The sequence below is a fragment of the Homo sapiens genome, chromosome 13 (assembly GCF_000001405.40).
Source record: "Homo sapiens chromosome 13, GRCh38.p14 Primary Assembly".
Classification (NCBI taxonomy): domain Eukaryota; kingdom Metazoa; phylum Chordata; class Mammalia; order Primates; family Hominidae; genus Homo; species Homo sapiens.
This window is the reverse complement of record NC_000013.11, coordinates 104,850,909-104,872,974: the sequence shown is the minus strand read 5'-3', so window position 1 is coordinate 104,872,974 and position 22,066 is coordinate 104,850,909. Positions and strand designations below refer to the sequence as shown.

Below are 22,066 nucleotides of genomic sequence, written 5' to 3'. Positions count from 1 at the left end.
CCAAAGGCAAATTTAATGTTTCCTTTGATTGCGTAAATTTTAACAAATTTGTTGACCAGATCCTCAGTAAACCTCTCTTAGAAAACTTGCATGTAAACAAATAATTATCACTTCATGATGGAGAGCCACCAAATGCCTGTTTTACGTCCACCTTGTTTATACGCAGACGGAGTTATTTAGTTTTCTGCAGAATTTTATCTAGTAACTAAGGGTCAAAGTTTCATAACAAGTATTGAGAAAACTGATATTAGTCTCCAGATGTGATGTAGTATGAAATTCACATTTTTATTTTGCCCAATTTAAGCTAGCCTCAGGACTTCTTGTTTTTATCAAATAAAAGGAATAAGGGATAAGTTAAAGGGCACACGAAAAAAAATCCATCTTAATTTGAAGTCTCTCTCAAAGCAGATCCTGAAACAGGACTTGGGTGCATGCAGTTTCAGTGGAAGAAGATCTCAGAAAGCACAAGTAGGAGAAAGGAAGAAGAGAGGAAACAGAGAAAAGCCAATAAAATTTATGTTACCTGTCAGCTTACTGCTGCAGGCAACTAAGGTACAGTCCTACTGGGAAAGCTTTGAGAAACCAAGTTGAATTTCCCCTGAAGGCATAGGGAAGCTTGGGTATTCAGCCGCCTGTTCACATCCCATCCCTTCTATCCTAGCAAGTGCCAATTGTCCCAGCTCAGACAAGCTCCAGGGGTGCTCTAAAAAGCAGAGAAACAGACAGGAATGGGGGACGTGGCAGGGGACAAGGTAAAATGTTAGAAAATATTGAAATTGAATCTGGGTAGAGACTTTCTCAACGCGTATTGTACCATTTCTTCATCGATCCTGTATCTCAGGAAAAAAAAAAATTATAAAATGTTGGGAGAAAAGAAAGAAAATAGTTCATGCAAAACAGTATGTCAATGACAGGCTTGTATGTTTACCAACATTAAGCAGTAGGAGCTATTATCTTAAAAATATTGTACATGGATATTTTAAAAATTTACTTTTTTTAAAGTTCTAAATATGTAGACAATTATCCTAAATAAAAAAAAGCATTCTAAGTTTCTTTCAAAATACTTACTCTTTTCAGTAAAACATTATATTTATGATGTTCAAACTTTTATTACAAGATCTACTCAAGGCATAAAGAGAAACAGATACACTGGGAACACTGAGAAATTGTATGAAAAATGTCAGAAGCATGGGCCCTGGGAAATTTATTTTTAATTCCACAAACACAGTTAGTTAAAATATAGGCATATGTCAGTTACATCTGATGAGGCTCTCTTGGTAGTCGCAGTGGATGATGAAGAAATCCTGTGTCTTGTGAAATAAAACTGATCACTAGTGAGATTTTCAAAGGACAATTAGGAAGAGTCAAAGCTATCTCCCGACTTAGCTCCTACTTAACTTGAGAAGTTACCGCACATAACACTCTACTGTGAGTGTAGACTTTAATCAAGTAAGTATATATATGGAGATACATATTCAGCTCAGGAACTAAAGTTCCACTTTAAATAGGTGATGTTTATGCAATGTATGGTTGTGAAGTGGAAGCTGAAATATCTCACATCATGTAAATAAAAAAAATACAGATATTTCTCACAAAATTCCTGATATATTAGATCAAACAGTTGTCATGTGTTTTGGTTTTTGTACTCTAAAATTCAGATCTTGATCAAAATCTAAGGACTAACTGAAGACTGTTCCTCAATTTTATTAGCAAGAACAACAACAACAAAAATCTGAATACATGTAAATCAACAGAACTCAATGTTACTTATGGGAAGGCCTATATTTGTAGACGAATCCATGCTTGGACAAAAGAATCCCTCTACTCCTTTCCACCTAAGTTACTAAATTATAAAGTTAGGTCAAGACAAAAGGCTCAAGTCTTGATACCAAGCCAATGTTTAATTTGCCTTGGATTATTAACTTTGCTTATATATGACATACTAACCTTATGAAAGAAAATCGTTGGCAAGAAAAAATATTAATATATTCTTGTTCTCCTTGGAATTTTATGTCATAATTATGCAAAAAAGGTCAAAATTGAACACTCCTGTTACTGATAAACAGCATCAGTTTATATTTCTCTAAACCCCTAATAAAGTATGTATATGATTAGTTAGAAGAAAAAGGTGGATTTTCCAGGAATAAGTCCATCGTTGAATGTCTCCATCATTTTTAACATTTCTGAATGTGAAATGCATTTTAACATCGCCGGCTTTTTCCCTGAAAATGGCCCATGTTTATAACTCTTTCTAGGAGTATATGAAATAATCACGTTTTTTTACAGTCAATAATGGTTTGAATCCATTGAGACTTCATGAATCATCATCTAATCAATCCTAATCAATTATGTGAATAACTTACTAAAATGAAGTATATGTCTAGAAAAAATTATCAGATATTTTAGTCATCAACAGAATAAATAGGATCTTCCTGAGAAAAGCAATTTGATACATATGAGTATGTGAATCAGATTTGATGACATTAACAAAGATATCATTAATCTATTCTGTTTAGATGTTGTCAAAGGTATGGTTATCATTTTGGCCTGTTTTGGATGCAAATATCAGAAAATACAACACAAGTAGGTTTACTTTTTTGGCTTGTGTAATTGAGAAAAACAGGGTTTATCAAGGTTTATCTGACTCAATAGGCATCATCAGAACCTGGCTTCTTTCATTCTCTCTGCTCTTTTCCTTGTTAATTACATTATCAGACTCCATCTGGGAGCAAAACGGCTATATCCTCCCTGTTGCAAACCGCCTGCCTGAGTACTGAGGGCATGCCTCAAAAATTTCAAATCAGCTATTTTAAATGTATTCAACAAGCTAAAGAAAATCATGTCCAAAGAACTAAAGGAAAGTGTGAGACTGATGTTTCATGAGACTGAGAATATTAATAAAAAGACAGGTATTATAAAATATAAAATTATGGAGTTGAAAACTACAATAACTAAAATGAAAAATTCAGTAGAAAGGCTGCAGAGCTGCTGTGAGCAGGCAAGAGAAACATTTAAAAACAATAATTAATAGGTAAAAAGTGTGATATATAATGAAATGATTTCAGTCACAGAAAGATTAAACCCCTCTTACATGCTACAACATGGAATGAACTTTTCAAACATTATGCTATGTAATAAAAGTCAGACACAAAAGGCCACTTATTGTATGATTTCATTTGTTCAAAACATCCAGAATATGCATAACCACAGATAGAGGATGTGAATTGTGGTTGTCTGGGTATGTATGGAGGGGAAATTTACAGCTATCTGATCATAGATACAGAGTTTCCTTTGTGGGTGATGAAAATGTTGTAGAAATAGCTAGTGGTTATGGTTGCACAACAGTAAACATGCTAAAAACCATGAAGATTTTCATTCTAAAATGGTGTGTATTGTTATGAGAAGCATATATCAATTTAAAAAGTTATTTTTTAAAAAAAATGTTGTAAAGTCAAAAGTCTGACAGTATGTTGAAATTAAAGGGTACATTGGGAAGTTAACTGAACTGGAAGTAAAATGATTGAAAAGTTATTTCAGAATAAACCAATCGTCAGTTTCTACTGACAGTAAATTGGATGAAGCTGGGAATATCTGTTCGTTCTGTATAATCAAGGAGTAGCCACCTTGGAGAATATCTAAATTATTAAAATGAGAAAAACACCAGAAACAATGTGCAATTTTAGTTCTAACTCCCTGAAATCACATCTATGTTGCTTGACTTATGGTAGCCGAGAGTTAAACGGGATTCCAGAATGGCTTACCTTTTAAGTCACTTGCTCTAAAGTAGAAGAAATATTAAAATCACCTGCTCTAATATCTGTGCTGAGCTGATAGGTGTATCAAGTCTTCCAGGTGTATGGCTGAGAGAGAAAATTGGCTGAAAATATGGGCAGCCCCCCAAATGGTAGATGTTTCTAGAAAGAGAAAGTGGAATGAATCATTCGCATTGGACAGGGCCTCTCAATTCAGCGAAGCTGGGTGTTCTGCTGTAGGATAGTCCCCAAGCTTCTCAACACCCACTCACTCAGAGAGAAAAGGACACAAATCATCTGAAATCTGGCATATTATAGAACATTCAGTAACAGTTCCATATGTGATTGCTGAATTTTTAGTTTTTTAAAATTATTTCCATTTGATTCATTTTCATTTGTTTTCTGAAAAATTAGAGAGATACCCATAAAAAAGCCTGTCCCACAGGGGACTTGAGGCTCAGATATAATCACTGCTGCACTCACTGAGTATCAGTCACTCCCGTTGATATTTTAAAGACTTTAATCTTTAAATTAAATATTTGAATTATCTATTTTGTTTCATTTTATGAATGAGAAAACTGAACCTCAGAAAGGTTAGGTAAATCCCTTAGGATTATAAATGTGAAAGCTATGGTTGAAACCCAGTATTATCAGACTCTAAGTACAGTTTGCTGTTTGCTCCTTAAATACACCTTCATAAAAAGAAAGATGTCCTTCACACTATGTGCATCCCCTCTCTGGAAATTAAATTCAGAAATGACTAGATTATGTGCCAAATACTGTATGGTAATGGTTAAAAACAGAGTGACCATTGAATAAGCATGACTAGAAAAATTAGAGCTGATAATTTCTCAAATCTACAGAGAAAATTTCAGATCATACTTAGAAAATAAGACATAAGTAAAAGATATTTTAGCACAAGTATATTTGCTAAAGCAAATTTTACTTTAACAGAGAGAAACTTATTCTGCATAATTCATAGAATTCATAAGGAATTCTGCTTGTTTTTAGCTATCTCTTTGGCTTTTGTCATGAAAGCATAATTAACTATAAAAAGAAAATTTCCGTATAGCATGTTCTATGAGAACCTGAAAAGAGAGCATTAGAAGATTGTCACACCAGAGATCTATTTTAAGACCATTTATGTAAGACATCCCAGATAATTATACTGTAGAAGGTATCTTTTCCTATCTTTAGGCAGCATTTTAAGTAAGAAATGCAGAACAAAACCATCAAAGTCAGTAGAAATAAAATGCGATCACTTTTCACAATGATTCTTGGAGAAACCACATAATGGCTAAAGCAGCCTAAAATTACTTGGGATAGGTTAAATAAAGTAAACATGGCTTATTAGATTTCCATAGAGTTAATAGTCTACATAGTCTAATGTTTTATAGACAAAACCTCTGTCATTCTGTTTTATAGAGTAACTCCTACCTCATCACTTCCAATCACATTTACTGCATTTACTAAACATCACTAACCTGTCAGCTGTTAATCGTCTAGTCAATGAGCTAGTTGAGTGGGTTATCAGGTGATTCCAATTCAGAAAGATAGCCACTCTCCATGAGAACATGACATGAGAACATGCTTCTGTCTTGTCTCTAATTCTGTTTTGCCTCCTTGAACACTGAGTTAAAATGGAAAGACATTGGAAATGATATCTTGTAGAAAAAAAAACTCACATGTACAGATAAGAGTATCTCTTTCTAATAAGAACAACTATTCCAAAACTGCATAATTTTGAATGTTACGTATGATGAAAACTCTTGTTATGGTGATGCTGCTATGATTCATTTAGAAGAATTTGTGTAACAGGGACCACGTAAATTTTAATGCTCAGAGAATCTAGGCATGCATGATTTAAGATTAATTGGACAAGACAAGGCTATATAGAAGATAAGGCTATAATGTCTTTATTCTCAAGAACATCTCTGATGGACTAACCAAAAAAGAATAAGGCTTCCATAGATCAGATTTAACCAACAAAAATATAGAATGTTTAGTTAATCATGTTTTGGAGTGATGTCCTAAATCTTACATATGGCATATTTATAGTAAAACATGTGATATGGTTTGGCTGTGTCCCCACCCAAATCGCACCTTGAATTGTAGTTCTGATACTCCCCATATGTCATGGGAGGGATCTGGTGGGAAGTAATTGAATCATGGGGGTAGTCACCACCATGCTGTTCTCATGATAGTGAGTGAGTTCTCACAAGATCTGATGGTCTTGGTCTTATAAGGGGCTTTTCCCACTTTGCTTGGTGCTTCTCTTTCCTGCTGCTGCAACAGGAAAAGTTCCTTTGTCTCCCTCACAGTGTGTGTGTGGCTTGCTTCTTCAGTGCCCCGCTGCTCAAACCTCCAGGGGAGCATACAGATGGGCAGACTGTGGGGCTCTGACCCCACAGCAGTGTCTACAGGTGAATGTTGATAGCTGAGGCCCCAGTGGGTGTGTGCTACAGGGTGCTCTTTTAGTTCAGCCGTCCGTAGGCAGCTTGTGTTTACCAGCTTAATTAGACCCTCTACTTTGTTGCAAGGACAGACGGCTTTCTGTATCCCGGGGTTCTTGCCTTGGTGTACTGGAAGAATCAGAACACGGGTGGGCTTGGGGGATGAGTGCAAGGTTTTATTAAGTGGAAGTAGCTCTCAGAAGATGGGAAACCCAGAAGGGAGATGGTTTTCCCATGGAGTCAGGCAGCCAAGCGCCTGACACTTCTCTGACACCTGCCCCCCAACAACTGCATAATTCCACCAGTAAATGGCCTGCCTATGTGCTGGCGTCTGTCAGTGGGCTCTTCTGCCAGCGTGCTCCCCTGGACATTCTCCTGACGTCCAGCCACTTGTGTCTTCTTCCACTGATCCACTCCTCCCCACGTCCAGCCGCTTGTGTGGCTGCCTGCTAGGTTCTTGAGGTTTTTATAGGCACAGGATGGGAGCATGGTGGGCCAGGGTAGTCTTGGGAAATGCAACATTTGGGCATGAAGGCACGAGTGACTGTCCTCACCTAGGTCCGTGGGCATAGGCTGGGGAGGAGCCCTCACCAGGGACCAAGTCCTTCCCTTCCCAGCACTTCCCTGCCCGCCTCCTCTATCACGCCGCGTGAAGAAGAACGTGTTTGCTTTCCCTTCCACCATGATTGTAAGTTTCCTGATGCCTCCCCAGCCCTGCACAACTATGAGTCAATTAAACCTGTTTCCTTGATAAATTATCCAGTCTCAGGTAGTTCTTTATAGTAGTGTGAGAACAAACTAATACAACATGATTTGTTGTTTATATGAAATTTAGATTTCTCTAGGTATCCTGCATCTTCCATGTCAGCCTTAGGTTCAAAGTGAGTTAGCAGAATCGTGGACATAAACTAATACACCCCCAGGTTCCAGGTCCATAAGCTCACTGCACGCAGTTGCTATAAGCTTTCTGCATTGTTCTTTACATAAATACTTGTGATTATTACTAGCCAGATAACCATATAAAAGCCCAATTCTTTATTTAAAATATTTTTCAGATATTTTAGAAATAAATTATATTCAAATATATAATAGGACTAGGAGCAATTATGTTGGTAGATTTAAATGGATAAAAACTCAAGGGGAAAATTAGACTTAATTTATTGTACTTGTTAACAAAGTTACTTTGCACAATAAATCCTTCAGAAATCAGGTCTGTTCTTTTAGTGAGGCATTTTGTAAACACTTACATGGACATAGTGTGAAGTTTTATTCCAGTTCTACTTCTGATATTAATTTATAGATATTCAGCTATCTTATTATTTAATGATTTAATCTTTTTTTTTTTTTTTGCCTTTTCTCTATCACCTATCATTTTACTATTCGGAATTCATTGTTATCTCCATCTTAAAAGGAAATAAAAATAATAAAATTCAATGGGCCAGTTTTTCTATTTGATGAAGAAATAATTTAAATACTTTAAAAATTGAAGCAAGTTTTCCATTATCCATTGCATTTATTTTCCTAGTAAAAAGGAATAAATGATATTTGGCAGCTTTTAATTTTAAAATTGCTCTAAAAATTATCTGCCAAAAACTAAACTACACTTACACTTCAAGAATATTCATGAAACTAACACTTCAAGTATTTATATGTTTCAAAAATATATATTTAACATTTTATATTACAAATTACTTTGTTTTGCAAATAGAAAATGCTTAATTTAAATGTTGATATTAAAAATGTATATGTACATATATGCACCCATGTGAATATATACACATACCAATTATATTTGCATCTATTTATATAACCATATGTAAACTTTTATATGATTATAGCATGCTAGTGAAATTAGTTTTACCATATTTATAGATAGGAAATTAAGCAGGTTTAATGCATCTTAAATTAATAATTTTAGAGAGCTTGCCTAGCATTTGTAAAAAACATAATCAAGAATAAGTAAATATCATTTTAAATATTAGTTAAATTAATATAAGCAAAGGATCATGTACTTATGTTGGTCTTATTGTTCTATATCTGTATAAAAAAGATACCTATTCAATCCCAAATATAATATACACACTGAACTTTTGCCAATCACTCATAATAGTTGATTATAAAACCTTAAAATTATGCAATATTAGAAAATAAAATGAGAAAATAAAATTCTTAGCTGAAAGATTATGGTAAAACTTTTTTGAAGAGTATCCACCTGCAACATGAGAATTTTATTTTTGATATTCTCTTTCTCTACAGATCTAAGTGAATAGACAAATATAAGACAGATGTTGGCTGAATTTCACCCTCTGGAAACAATGGTCAGGTTAATAACCTGACCTTCCTCTTAGAAGGAAAATTGAAGCCATTCTTCCACCTGGTTTAGACAGTGACCATGAAAAGAAGTGATTAGATGCAATGTAACGAAAACCACAACATTTTTGCCATGAGCAAGTCTATCACTGGCAGAACTAAATTTTTACTCAAAATTTGAGACTGTTCTTCGATGAAGCAAATTTAATCAAATAGTAGAGAAACCTAAATGAGGAGTACAGAAGGAAATGCTGGTCAAGAAGTCTCCAGAAAATATGTCTGAAGACTCACTTTTGTTTGTTTTTGTTTTTGTTTTTTTAAATGACACAATTGCAGAGTCAATTTAGGTGTGAACGGTAGTACTCCATAGAAAAAGAATATGATGTGAGTAGGCCCAGAAGGCACACACATGCTAATTATATTAGCAACGTGTTAGTTGTGTAGTCCCAATGAAGACTTTGAGAATGAAGAATTAGACCTGGTGCACAGGTGGTTCTGCATGATATATGGGCACTACTCAGAAGAGGACTGTTTCAGCATGATAGTCCTACTCATGGGAGGCCCTAAAGAACACTGCTGAAAGGAAATCCTCCCAGTTGGCATTACTTGCAGCAGTGAACCTATTGTTTTGCCTGGAAAGAGAAAGAGACATCATTTAAGAACAGATCTACTTCAATACATGGGCAGTGGCTATCAATTTATATGAATATGTGCTTAGAAGAAACACAATTGGAAAACTGGTGACGAAAAATTCTGGGGAGTACCCTATGCTACAGCACCATTCTCTGAGGAAATATGCAGCTAGGTTGATTGCATTGGTCTTGTTGATTGCATTGGATCATTTTCATCAAGAGAAGTGCAAGACTTTGTTCACATGGGAATAGACACTCTGGATACAGATTTGTCTTCCTGTTTCTAATGCACCTGCTGAAATCACTATTCAAAGATTTACAACAGCATTATTCATTGTCATGTTATTTATCATAGCATTGCTTCTGATCGGATAATTCACTTTACTGCATATAAAAAGCATGACAATGGATTTGGGGATATGGAATTCACTGGACCCAACGTTTCATGTTACCTTGAAGCAGCTGGCTTGATGGAATGGAGGGCTGACCTTTCAATCAGTTGATAATAGTGACAACTGGATTATAACATTTTGTAGACATAAAGGAACATCCTTTATATTTCTCCCATAGCCAGGATTTAAGGGTCTGGTAATCAAGGGAGGAAAATATGAGTAGGTCCTCTTCATATTACACCTGCTTATTTATTAGAAAAAAATTCCTTTTCATGAATATTAGGGTCTTTGTTAGTTTAGAGGTCTTAGCTTCTAAGGGCAGAATCCTCCCCTTAGTGAACTGAGTAATGATTCCATTAAACTATAAGCTTAGACTGCACTTGGCCACTTTGGTCTCCTTGGACTCCCAAGATGGTAGGCATAGAAAGGGGTGATTATACAGGACAAAGTGACTGGCTTCATAAATATAAATAAATAAATAAGGTTGTTACTAAAACATGAAAGAGGGAGAAGTATGTCTGGAATACAGATGATTCCCTGTGGAGGCTCTTAATTATCCCATGTTCTATGTTAAAGTTAATGAAGAAACCAATATGCACAGATTTCAGAAATGAATGTTTGTTCAGTGTTTGCAAGGTAGAAGCAAATCAGCAAATCATGATACTCTGAGAGTTTCTTTGATGAGACACAGAGGTGCTGGCCAAGTCCAGCTTTTCATTGCTCTACGTTCCTCCATGACCAGCTCTTTCTCTGACCCCTGCTGTGCTAATCAACAGCAACAGCAAGGCCACCACCTGATGCAAAGCCTGATACACACCTAGGCATCCATTCACTTTCATGATTATATTGAAGCTGCTGCACATGCCTGGCTTCACATCTTTCTCTGCAAGCTCATCTTGTCCACTCACCATATCACAGTGCTTCACAGAGATTGCTTAGGACCTCTCTGATCCTTCACATTCTCTTTCCTGACTTCACCATCCCACCTCCTTCTACTACTGAGTAAAGTCAAATTCCAACAATAAATCTCTTATTTATAAATACCAATAGTGGTTCCTCTTTCTTGATCAAATACTGATTGATACAGCTCTAAATTAAAGCCAAAAATTTCAAGCAGATTTTTTCCTCATTAACTTACCAAAAAATGTGTTTTCTGCATGGAATTTTATTTTTGAGACAAATCACTTGCTTTTTCTGCCAAAAAATCCTCACTCCATCAAATACAAGCATCAATATTGTTCAGACATAAATTACCAAAAGCAAATACATTATGGAAAGGAAGTTGAACGTGAATATTCAACCAGCTTCAATATGGAAACGTCACTGTGTTCTACCTCCCCAGCCATCATCTGCCCATCCGGCACTGATCTGATTCATTAGAGGGACTCAACCAACTAAAGGAAGAAAAATATCTTTTCCTAGACAGAAATAAAGTTCCTTCACTTCTAAGAATTGTTTAAAACCAGCCTTCACTACCTTGAGGTGAACAAAATTAGTCTGTAGTTTGATAAACTATTTGGACTTTTAAAAGTGTTTCTTTCAGCTCTATTGGTGACAAAGAAAAATAGTGTGTGTGTGTATGTGTGGTGTGCGTGTGCACACACATGTGCTGAAAGTCATGTATTTGTATCAAGAGACAATGGAGGAAAACCTGTAGAGAATTATATATGAAGTTCTAGAGACCTGGGAAACCATAAAAAGGGCCTTGTCTTAGAAGAAGGTAAATGTATAAGGGAGCTTCTAGGCTTCCAGAGAGGGACCAGTGTGGAGATTATTCTTTGAGAGCCTTTTTTTTTTTTTTTTTTTGTAGATGAGGTCTCTCTCTGTTTTCCCAGGCTGGAGTGCAGTGGTGTGATCTCGGCTCACTGAAACCTCCACCTCCCAGGTTCAAGCGATTCTCCTGCCTCAGTCTCCCAAGTAGCTGAGACTATGGGACTACAGGTGCATGCCACTATGCCCAGCTAATTTATTGTATCTTAGTAGAGATGGGGTATCACCGTTGTTGCCCAGGCTGGTCTTGAACTCCTGAGCTCAGGCAATCCACCCACCTTGGCCTCCCAAAGTGTTAGGATTACAGGCCTGAACCACTGCACCTGGCCAATTCTTCTAGAGCTTTTAATGTTACCCAAACTGAAGCATTACCAGAAAAATGACCTCGTCTTCACAGAATTAAGAACTTTGCTTTACCTACTCCCAGGTTCTCCTTTTGCAGCTCTTATTTTGGGGTGGTAGAGAATGTTGCCCCTTTAGCACTTTAATAACTGATTAGCTAAACAGAGATGACCCTCATAGTGCTGAAACACTTTGCTCTATGTCTATCAGGGTTTTTTCATGTTGACACCTTTCCACAACATTCAGTGATGCTCATGAACCCAAGGCATGGCTGACCAAGAAATGATCATCCCTTGGGTTGGCAAGAAGATTATCCATATACATCAAAAGGAGAGTGGGGTAGACAGCAAAATAACAACAACTTGGGACAACTGTATTAACACCCATGGTGACAGAAGTATGATTGCTTCCATTAATATGCTTCTATGCTTTGAGACTTTTTTTCAATTTCAAATTTTATTTCAGATACAAGAGGTACATGTGAAGGTTTGTTACATGGGGATATTGCATGATGCTGAGGTTAGGGGTGCAGATCCCATCACCCAGGTAGTGAGTATAGTGCCCCATAGGTAGATCTTAAACCCATGCCCTTCTCCCTTCACCCCCTCTAGTAGTCCATGGTGTCTGTTATTCTCATATTTTTGTCCGTGTGCGCTTAATGTTGAGCTCTCTTAAAATTTTTTAAAAAATTCCTTAATAAATTGCAACCATTTGCTCTCATAAATTTTTTGATTGCTGATACAATACACATGAATAGAGAAATACTCTGATGAATTTTGAACTCACAAATTAGTAAAGATACTTAACTTTTACTACGAAGCCCCTTTCCAAAAAAAAAAAAACAACAACAACAAAAAGAAAAGCAAAGCCAAAGTACATCTAATTGAATTCCAAACTCTGCCTTGTTGTTGTTGAGTTGGAGGCTGGGTGGTTGTTGCAGTAGCACCAAGGTATTGCAATCCACTTCTGCCTCTCCAGCCCCATTTCACATTCTCATCATCATTTTGTCCCAAACTCGAACTCCATTCCCTGCCTTGAACCAACCTTGCTTTCTTCTGCATTGGCACTAAATACAGGATTTTTTTTCCCTGAGAGGCTTATCCTCGCTGTTGCTCTGAATATTCACACCTATCCCATAGATCTCAACTCAATGCCATTTAAGAATCCATTTTTGTGGCACATATACACCATGGAATACTATGCAGCCATAAAAAATGATGAGTTCATGTCCTTTGTAGGGACATGGATGAAGCTGGAAACCATCATTCTCAGCAAACTATCACAAGGACAAAAAACCAAACACTGCATGTTCTCACTCATAGGTGGGAATTGAACAATGAGAACACATGGACACAGGAAGGGGAACATCACACACGGGGGCCTGTTGTGGGGTGGGGAGAGAGGGGGAGGGACAGCATTAGGAGATATACCTAATGTAAATGATGAGTTGATGGGTGCAGCACACCAACATGGCACATGTATACATATGTAAGAAACCCACACGTTGTGCACATGTACCCTAGAACTCAAAGTATAATAAAAAAAAAAAAAAAATATATATATATATATATATATATATATATATATATATATATATATCCATTTTTAACCTCCCAGAGCCCTGCCCACTATTCCCTAATATTCATCCTCTCTCTTCTAGCATTTGCCATGGTTAAAATCTTATCTGTAATTATATGGTCATTTGTCTACTCTGTCTCCCTAGTAAGTTAAAAATTCCCAGAAGACCAAGACTATTTCTGATCTTTAACAAACATAGTATTTTAGAAGTTGGCACATATTATTATTTACTTATAAATATTTTTTGTTGTTGTTGAGGTCCTTACTGTCTTCAAATGTCCATATAAGATTTTCTTTAGAAACATGATATATTATTGAATTATTTCATTTTTCTGTGTTAATTGAAGAAAATATAATAAAGCATATTTCTATTCAATACCAAAGTTCAATCATAAAATTGTGCATATTAGTTTCTCAAAAACATTATTGAAATCATTTAGGTACTGTATTTTATAGTAAATGGGAAATATATTTGACAAGTAAAATATAAAATTATAATTTACACAATGTTGTTTACAGAAATGTCTCATCCTGCATGAATTTTTTGGATGAGCTTATTTCTTTCATTGTATTTTTCCTCATTACTCATGCATTTGAGAAGTAAACATTTGCCTGTTTATGCCCTGAGGGAAACTTTCAATTGAAAATTCAGTTCAGAGCTCCCTTTCTCTCTCTCTCTCTATATATATATGTTTGTATGTGTATATATACATGTGTATGTGTATATATATACACATACAAACATACATATAATAAATATATCTAGTATATAAAAGCATATATAATGGATAAATACATCAAGCGTATGTAAGTATATATAATGGATATATAGATCTAGTATATATTATAGATACATGCATATATATAGAGAGAGCAAGAGAGAGAGCTCTCAAAAATATATAAATTCTGAAAAAAAGTTCTATCTATATGTATGTTTAGAGACAGGGTCTCACTTTGTTGCCCAGGCTGGAGTACAGTGGCATGATCATAGCCCACTGCAGCCTCAAACTCCTGGCCACAAGCAGTCCTCCTGCCACGGCCTCCCAAAGCACTGGGATTATGGGCCCTGATCTACTGAACTTGGCATCTGAATATTGTTAATGTTTCCCTTTTACTTGGTATAATTATTTTCCTCTACCTGTAGCATAACTTTTATGTAGATTAGACATATATTACAAAATACTTGATACTTTATTTAAACTCTACATTTTCAAGTGGTTATTAAACACATGCCACTAATATGCTTCTTTATTTTTCAAACATTGAAATATAAATGAAAGTCAGTTTGCATATACACCATAATTACTTACCTTATGGAAATTTGAAATTTATACAATGATTAGGGATTTTTATAAAAACTATAAAATGGGGAATTTTTAAAGATAAAGTGTAACTTTTTCAACATATTCTTATATGTAATAGAGTTTTTATTTATATTATAAGAATGCATTTGTAGATATGCAGAGTGAAAATTAACCAAATAACATATGAATTGGAGAAATCACCTCCATGTAGCACACAATAAAAATATGATACATATATAAAATCTGAAAGAGCAATCAAGAGCTCATAGAAGATAAAATGAAAAGGCCATGACTAATAACCTTTTGATAATATGACTAATGTGTGTTGAAGAGACAGAGCAGCAAAAAAAGAGGCAAAATTCAAAGATACTGGATGAAAATTTTTCCAGAATTGAAAAAATAAATTCTTAGCTGGAAAAACATGACGACCATTCAGCAAAATAAACTAGCAATTTTAAAAATTAACAATTCACACTTTCACAGTGAAGCTACAGAATAAAAAATAAAGAAAATCACAACATTTACAAAGAAAAATGGGATTATTTACAAAAGAGAGAAATTATTTGCAGGCTTTGCAAAGAGAAAAATAGTTTGCCAAAAGAATGGAAGTCTGAAAATAGTTACATTAATTTCCAAATGCTGGGGAAAAACACAGTCAAGATTATGTACACCAGATTAAAATATTATTTGAGTGAGTGAGAAATAAAGGCACTTTCAGTTAAACAAAAGCAATGGAAATCTATGCCTGGAATCAGAAATAACCTCTTGATTTAAAATATAGATATCTATATCAGATAGTCTTGTAATTAGTACTTGATGTGCTTTTACTTTTCAATTCCTAGAATAGTGACTGTCACACGGTAGATGTTTAATAATTATTTTTTTGATGGTTCAATTTGAAACGATCTAAAACAGTGCTACTTTGAAACCATAGAGTCAATGCAATGGCCTAGAGCAGTGGCCTGTGCATTAAGGCATGTAAATTCTAAGAGTCCCCAAACATTTTTCAAGAGAGTCACAAATGAGACAGTTTTAAGAGAATTCTAGATTGCTAACTTCCACATATATTCTTCCCTTAAAGTGTTTGCCCTGAGGTTTTCTTCTTTTTTTCTCCATTAATTTTTTTATTATACTTTAAGTTCTAGGGTACATGTGCACAACGTGCAGGTTACATATGTGTACATACGCCATGTTGGTGTGCTGCACCCATTAACTCGTCATTTACATTAGGTATATCTCCTAAAACAATGAGAACACCTGGACGCAGGAAGGGAGGTTTTCTTATAGTGGGGCAACAGGAATCTTTATTTCCTTTCTACAGTACATTGCAGCAAAGTATCAAAACACTCAGGATCCAAATAAAAGGTTGCGGGGCAACTACCAACATGGGTGAAATATTTTTTTAAAGTTTGCATCATATACCCTTGATTGGGTTTTATGTTCTTATATCTTACATATTTTTTTCCAATGAAGGGTGAAATGTTGCATTTGAAGCCTAGGATTTTAGGCTACATGGGAATACTCTCCAATCAGATATGTTATGTTGAAGACTATAATTTAGTATTTTCTATTTTTGTGAACATTTACTCAGAAAAGAAGAGGAATGCTTTTGTTAACTTTTACTAAATGTATTAATTTATACTATTTTGTTAACTTGAGAGCATTTCTTCTCCTTCCCATTATTTGTCAATCACTAGATATTTCTTCATTCTTTCATACATTTATTAAATTTAGTATATCCTCATTTTGTTGAGGGTCCTACTACGAACAATGCATTTAACACCAATTACTAATAGCCCTTTCCTTTAAGCTTTACACTTCCTAGTGAACTTCTCTTACTAATGGTCTTATTTTTGCTATCAACTTCCAACGAAAACTGTATCATTCTGCAACTGGCAATGGCCAGCTCAGATTGGTTGGACCGATAAGAAGCTCCAAAGCATTTCCCAAAGCCAAACTTGCACCAAAAGAAAGGTCATAGTCACTGTTCAATGGTCTGTCTGATCCACTACAGCTTTTTGAATCCCAGCAAAACCATTACAACTGAGAAGTATGCTCAGCAAATCAATGGGATGCACCAAAAACTGCAACACCTGCAGCCGACATTGGTCAACAGGAAGGGCCCAATTCCTCACAGCAATGCCTGACTGCACATCATTCAGCCAATGCTTCAAAAGTTGAACAAATTGAGCTACAAAGTTATGCCTCAACTGCCATATTCACCTGACTTGCAGCCAACCGACTACCACTTCTTCGAACATCTTGACAACTTTTTGCAGGGGAAACACTTTCATAACCAGCAGGATGCAGAAAATGCTTTCCAAGACTTTGTCGAATCCTGAAGCACAGATTTTTACACTACAGGAATAAACAAACTTGTTTCTTGCTGGCAAAAAGTGTTGATTGTAATGGTTCCTATTTTGATTAATAAAGATGTGTTTTAGCCTAGTTACAATACTTTAAAATTCACAGCCCAAAACTGCAGTTATGTTTGCAACAATCTAATAATTATTTCAATCTTTGAAAAAATTTGTCTGATAGAATCCTGAATTCCTTCTTTGTGTTATTTTGAATTTCATTTGGCTTACTGAAAACAGCTGTTTTGAATTCTCTATCTAAAAGATCATCTCTCTCTCTCTCTCACAGCACTGGGTCTCTCCCAAGGCCTGCAGTGACCACTGCCTGGCTACTGCCTATGTTCCCTCAGGGCCCATGGCCTCTAATATCACCAGGTGATAAACTCAGCCAGGCTTGTGTCCTTCACTTTAGGGTGGTAAGTTCACCCTGGCCCCGGGCAGGTCCAAAGATGCTTGTCTGGGAGGAATCTATCTGGTGTTCTATTCTACTGTGACTGATCTAGGTACCCAAGTTGCAAAACAAAGTCTTCCTCACTCTTCCCTCCCTATCCCTCAAGAACAGGAGTCTTAAGCCAGGTGCAGTGGCTTAAACCTGTAATTCCAGCACTTTGGGATGCCAAGGCAGGGGAATTGCTTGAGTCCAAAAACAAAGACAAAAACAACAACAACAAAAAATACTCAAAAAGAAAAGAAATCAGCTGAGCATGGTGACTTGTACCTGTAGTCCCAGCTACATGGGAAGCTGAGGTGGGAGGATTGCTTGAGCCCAGGATATCGAGGCTGCAGTGAGCCATGATCCTGCCATTGCAATCTTGCCTGAGTGACAGAGCAAGACCTGTCTGAAAATAATTAACAAGCAAATAAACAAAAATAATAGGAGTCTCTCCCTGTGGCTACTACCACCTGAGGCCCATGGCAAGTACTGCCTTGTTACTGCCAGTATTCACTCAAGATCTGTGGCTGACTCAAGGTTCACTCTTCAGCTGGCTTGCAGTGAATGTTCACAGGCCTGACTCTCTTTTTTTTTTTCAAGAGAAGTGGGCTCCCCTCTTGTCCAGAGAAGGTTCAGAAATACCTGTCCAGAAGCCAAGGCCTGGAAGCAGGGACCCAAACAGCCCCTTGGGGCTCTACCCCACTGTGGCGGCGCTGGTCCCCAGCTGTAAGACAAAGTCCTCTTTTCTCTTACCTGTCCTTTCATCAATCAGGAGTCAGTTTCCGTAGCCATCACATCTGGGTATGTGCTGCATATGAAGCCAGCAGGGCTCTGAGCCTCACCCAAGGCCTGCGGCGAGTACTGCCTGGACACCACTACTAATTATTCATGGCCCAAGGGCTCTTTAGTTAGGAGAGAATAAATCTTTCCAGGACTGGATCCTTCCCAACAGGGCATTGGGGTTCCTTTTGACCCAATGTGATTAAAAATGTTGTCTGGGAGCTAGGGTCTAGAATGAGTACTTCGCCCAGTGCCCTATCGTACTGTGGCTGAGCTGGTATTCAAGTCGCAGAACCAAGTCCTCTTTACGCTTCCCTCACCTCTCCTCAAGTGGAGGGAAGAGCTGACAGCTGCGTGGCCTGGGGTTGCGGGGAGGGGTGCTGCAAGCACTCCCTTGGCAACACTGGTTGGTGTCTCACCGGGTAACGTGCACTACAAATCCAATGGCTCCAAGCTCAGCACAGCACAAGGACTTACCCAGAAATCGCATTCCTTACGGCCTAGGCTGCGTTAACGTTTATTTAGAACCTCACAGCACTTTAGCCCATAATGGCAGGGCTTGCCAGGACTCAACTTCTGACCACTGAGATGGAAAATTCACCATTGGCTAGAGCTGGTCTAAATGCTGCCTGGATGAGCACCAGCTGAGGTCGGCTGTGTGTTGCTTTCCACCGTGATGGGGCAGTGCTGAGTTCAAAGAGAAGTCTCACAATCACTGCGCTCTCTCTCCCCCAAGTGCACAAATTCTCTCTCTGCACCATGCAGTCACTGCCTGGGAATGGCGGAAGGGTGATGTCAGCAGTTTAAGACTGTAATCCCTTCCCTCTTCTGTGTTTCTTTTCTTGATATATTATTATAACAAGGTACTCTGATCAATCACCTGATTTATGATTCTTATAAAGGTGCTATTTTGTGTGGACTTTAATTCAATTTGCTGTTTCTGCCAGTGGGACGATGACTGAAGTGTTCTATTTGGCCATCTCGCTCTACCCTCGTCTGTTTCTTTTTATATTTTAACAATTCTGGTGGGTGAGTGGCGGCTAGTAGTTCTCTTTGGTTTTAATTTGCATTTCCCTGATAACTAATGAAGTAGTTCATTTTGTCATATGTTTAGAGACCATTTGGAATCATTGTATTATGCTATGCCTGTTATACAGTCACTTCCTCATTTTTATTGGTTGTCAGACTTTTTCTTATTGATTTATAGGGATTTTTATGTTTATTGTTTGCTTTTATTTATAAATTTATATTTGAATTTATTAAAAGGTAAAGCCTTTCTCCTATTCTATATACATTATTTTGAACAACTACTGTGGTGTTTTCAGATGAACAGAGACTCTCAATCTCAATGTAATAAAACATTTCATTAACTTACTTTATGGGTAGATCTTTCTGTATCCTGTTGAGAATTTTCCTTGAGATATTTTCCTAAATGACTTTCTTAAAAATGTTTTTTTTTGTTGTTTTTTTTTTTTGAGACGGAGTCTCGCTCTGTCGCCCAGGCTGGAGTGCAGTGGCGCAACCTGAGCTCACTGCAAGCTCTGCCTCCCAGGTTCACGCCATTCTCCTGCCTCAGCCTCCTGAGTAGCTGGGACTACTGGCACCCGCCACCATGCCTGGCTAATTTTTTTTGTATTTTCGGTAGAGATGCGGTTTCACCGTGTTAACCAGGATGGTGTCGATCTCCTGACCTTGTGATCCACCCGCCTCAGCCTCCCAAAGTGCTGGGACTACAGGCAAGACCCACCGCGCCCAGCTGTTTTTTCTTTTAAATTTATTTCTCTAGAATTTATTTTTGGATATAGTAAAATTCTTTTATAAAAACATGCATACTAAGTGGTCCCAGATTTATTGATTAAAAATACCATTTTTTTTTCCACTGACCCTCAGCATCAAACCTTTTTCTAAATCAAGTTTCTACATGTCATGTCTGTGTTGGGCCTCTCAATTAGGTTCTATATTTAATAAACATATTATTGAGTGACAATACCACACTTTCCTCATCTCTATTGCTTTATAATAAGTCATGGCATCTGGTATGGAAAGCCTTCTTATTTTGTTCTTTCTTAAGATTGTCTTGGAATCTATTAACAAATTTTAGAGTGAGTTTGTTTAGTTCTACCCAAAACAAAATTTCTATTCACATTTGTATTAAAATTGCATAGAATCTAGAGATCTATTTGGGGAGAATGCACATCTTTATAATATTAGGTCTTCCAGTTCATGAACATGGTATATACCTTCATTTACTAAGGACTTTTTAAAAACAAAATGTGTAGCAATCTCATCTCATAAAAAGATGCGCCTTCAGGGAGGTTTGAAAATATATGTAGTCCTTTGTATTTGGCTACAATTAGAATCAGGATTCCTAAGAATAAGCTAAAGTAGTTTAGAGATAAGGTTATCAAATTTGCATTTCTGCCATATAAAAGCAAGTGTGAAATTCAATTCCTACAGGCATTATATTTATGGGATACTTGGAAATGAACCACAATTTTATAGAGGGTCCAAGCTGCATAAATCACTAACATAGGCTTCATTAGACTGTCTCTTAATTGGTACAGGAGTGACTAAAGCCACATGCAGTGACCGAGGTTTCCATCATGTGGGGATTAGAGGGGAGAGGGTACAGAAATTCATGAAAATAATGTTAATACTGCTCTTCATAAACCCATCGTATTTAGGAAGGTAGGTGGTTTAAGAATGCTGAAAATGAAGAAATATACTCAAATCACTTCTGCGTACATTCTTGTCCCTTACCTGACTCTGCCAATACATCATGAAGTTTCATGTATTTATCAGTTAAACTATGATCCTATTCTCCACCTTTTTACTCTTTTTGCCATTACCTGAGTCTCTGATCATCCCATTCTGCCACTGTATTATTGTGTGACTTATCAAATACTGAATGGTAAACACTCTCAGAAATCACAGGTACTACCTTAAATAAGAAAAATACTTTGTGTGCCATCAAATCAACATAAAAATGGGCGTACTTGATTTTTGTTGTTTCTTAGAGTTTGTTTTCTCTTCCTGTTTTTTAAGCTAACGTGGTGTCGGTTACCTGCATATTTTGTAGATTCTTTCAAGATGAATCAGTGTTTAATGATCATGAATCCTTGGGACCTAAATTCTATCAAAGTACAAAAGTATTAGTATTAAGGGCATGCTTTGTGAATGATAACACAGTTCAAGCAATATTATTTCCATTATTCCTACTGAGTATAAAAGGCAGTTCAAAGCAATTTGCAATTTTATAGCCTGAGGAAATTATTTCCATGGGAAGCAAAAAAACAACTACTTCTGTTTCTGTTATTGCCTAAGTGTTTTCTAGTTTGGAAGTCTAGGTAAATGATTTCGCCCACAATTCTTTGAATGACTTATTTTATCTTATTTTTGGGGCACTTCTCATGTGCTTTTTAATACGTAATTAGTATGTTAAGAAAAGAGTGTAATTTTGATACTACTTCTGTTTGGCTTAACAATGATTAAGAAAGAATGCCTAAAATTGAGCTACATTTTCAAACTACTTACAGTCTAGTCACATTAATGTTAACTTAGGGATTATTTTGTAATTATTTTATGTCTCTTATGAAATGAGTTGACACCCAAAATTATTTTTCAAAGAGTTTACTTATTTTCTAATACTAATTTGTCCCTCTTGGGAGTTCATTCCCTCTTGGAAATATATTTTAAGTATAAATATATTCAAACTTAAAGTCCTTATATATTTTTTGTTATTTGCTAAGCTGTATCCGTAACATTTTTATATCTGGCAAAGCATCCTCAATATCAATGTGCAAAGTTGTAATCTTCCATGATATTTACCTGAGCTTTTCTTCATCCACAGGTAGACTAATATCTAAAGCACAATGGAAAATTTACAATGCTCTGGATATTGCACCTAAGAAATGTGCAGTACAATAGCAATGACTTTCAGAGGCAGCCATGTTCTCTGAGTAG

At 36.5% G+C, this 22,066-nt stretch overlaps 2 long non-coding RNA genes across 2 annotated transcripts in view; both read right to left on the bottom strand.

Moving 5' to 3' along the window:
* Positions 1 to 22,066, bottom strand: part of LOC107984608 (uncharacterized) — a 52,829-nt gene that overhangs the window by 18,321 nt on the left and 12,442 nt on the right. The gene's annotated exons all lie outside the window — the stretch shown is intronic.
* LOC105370342 (uncharacterized) lies at positions 3,811 to 21,236 on the bottom strand. Its single transcript, XR_931691.3, has 3 exons — positions 21,168 to 21,236; positions 5,237 to 5,382; positions 3,811 to 3,914 (listed from the first exon to the last, which is right to left on the bottom strand). It is a non-coding gene; the product is annotated as an uncharacterized LOC105370342 (long non-coding RNA).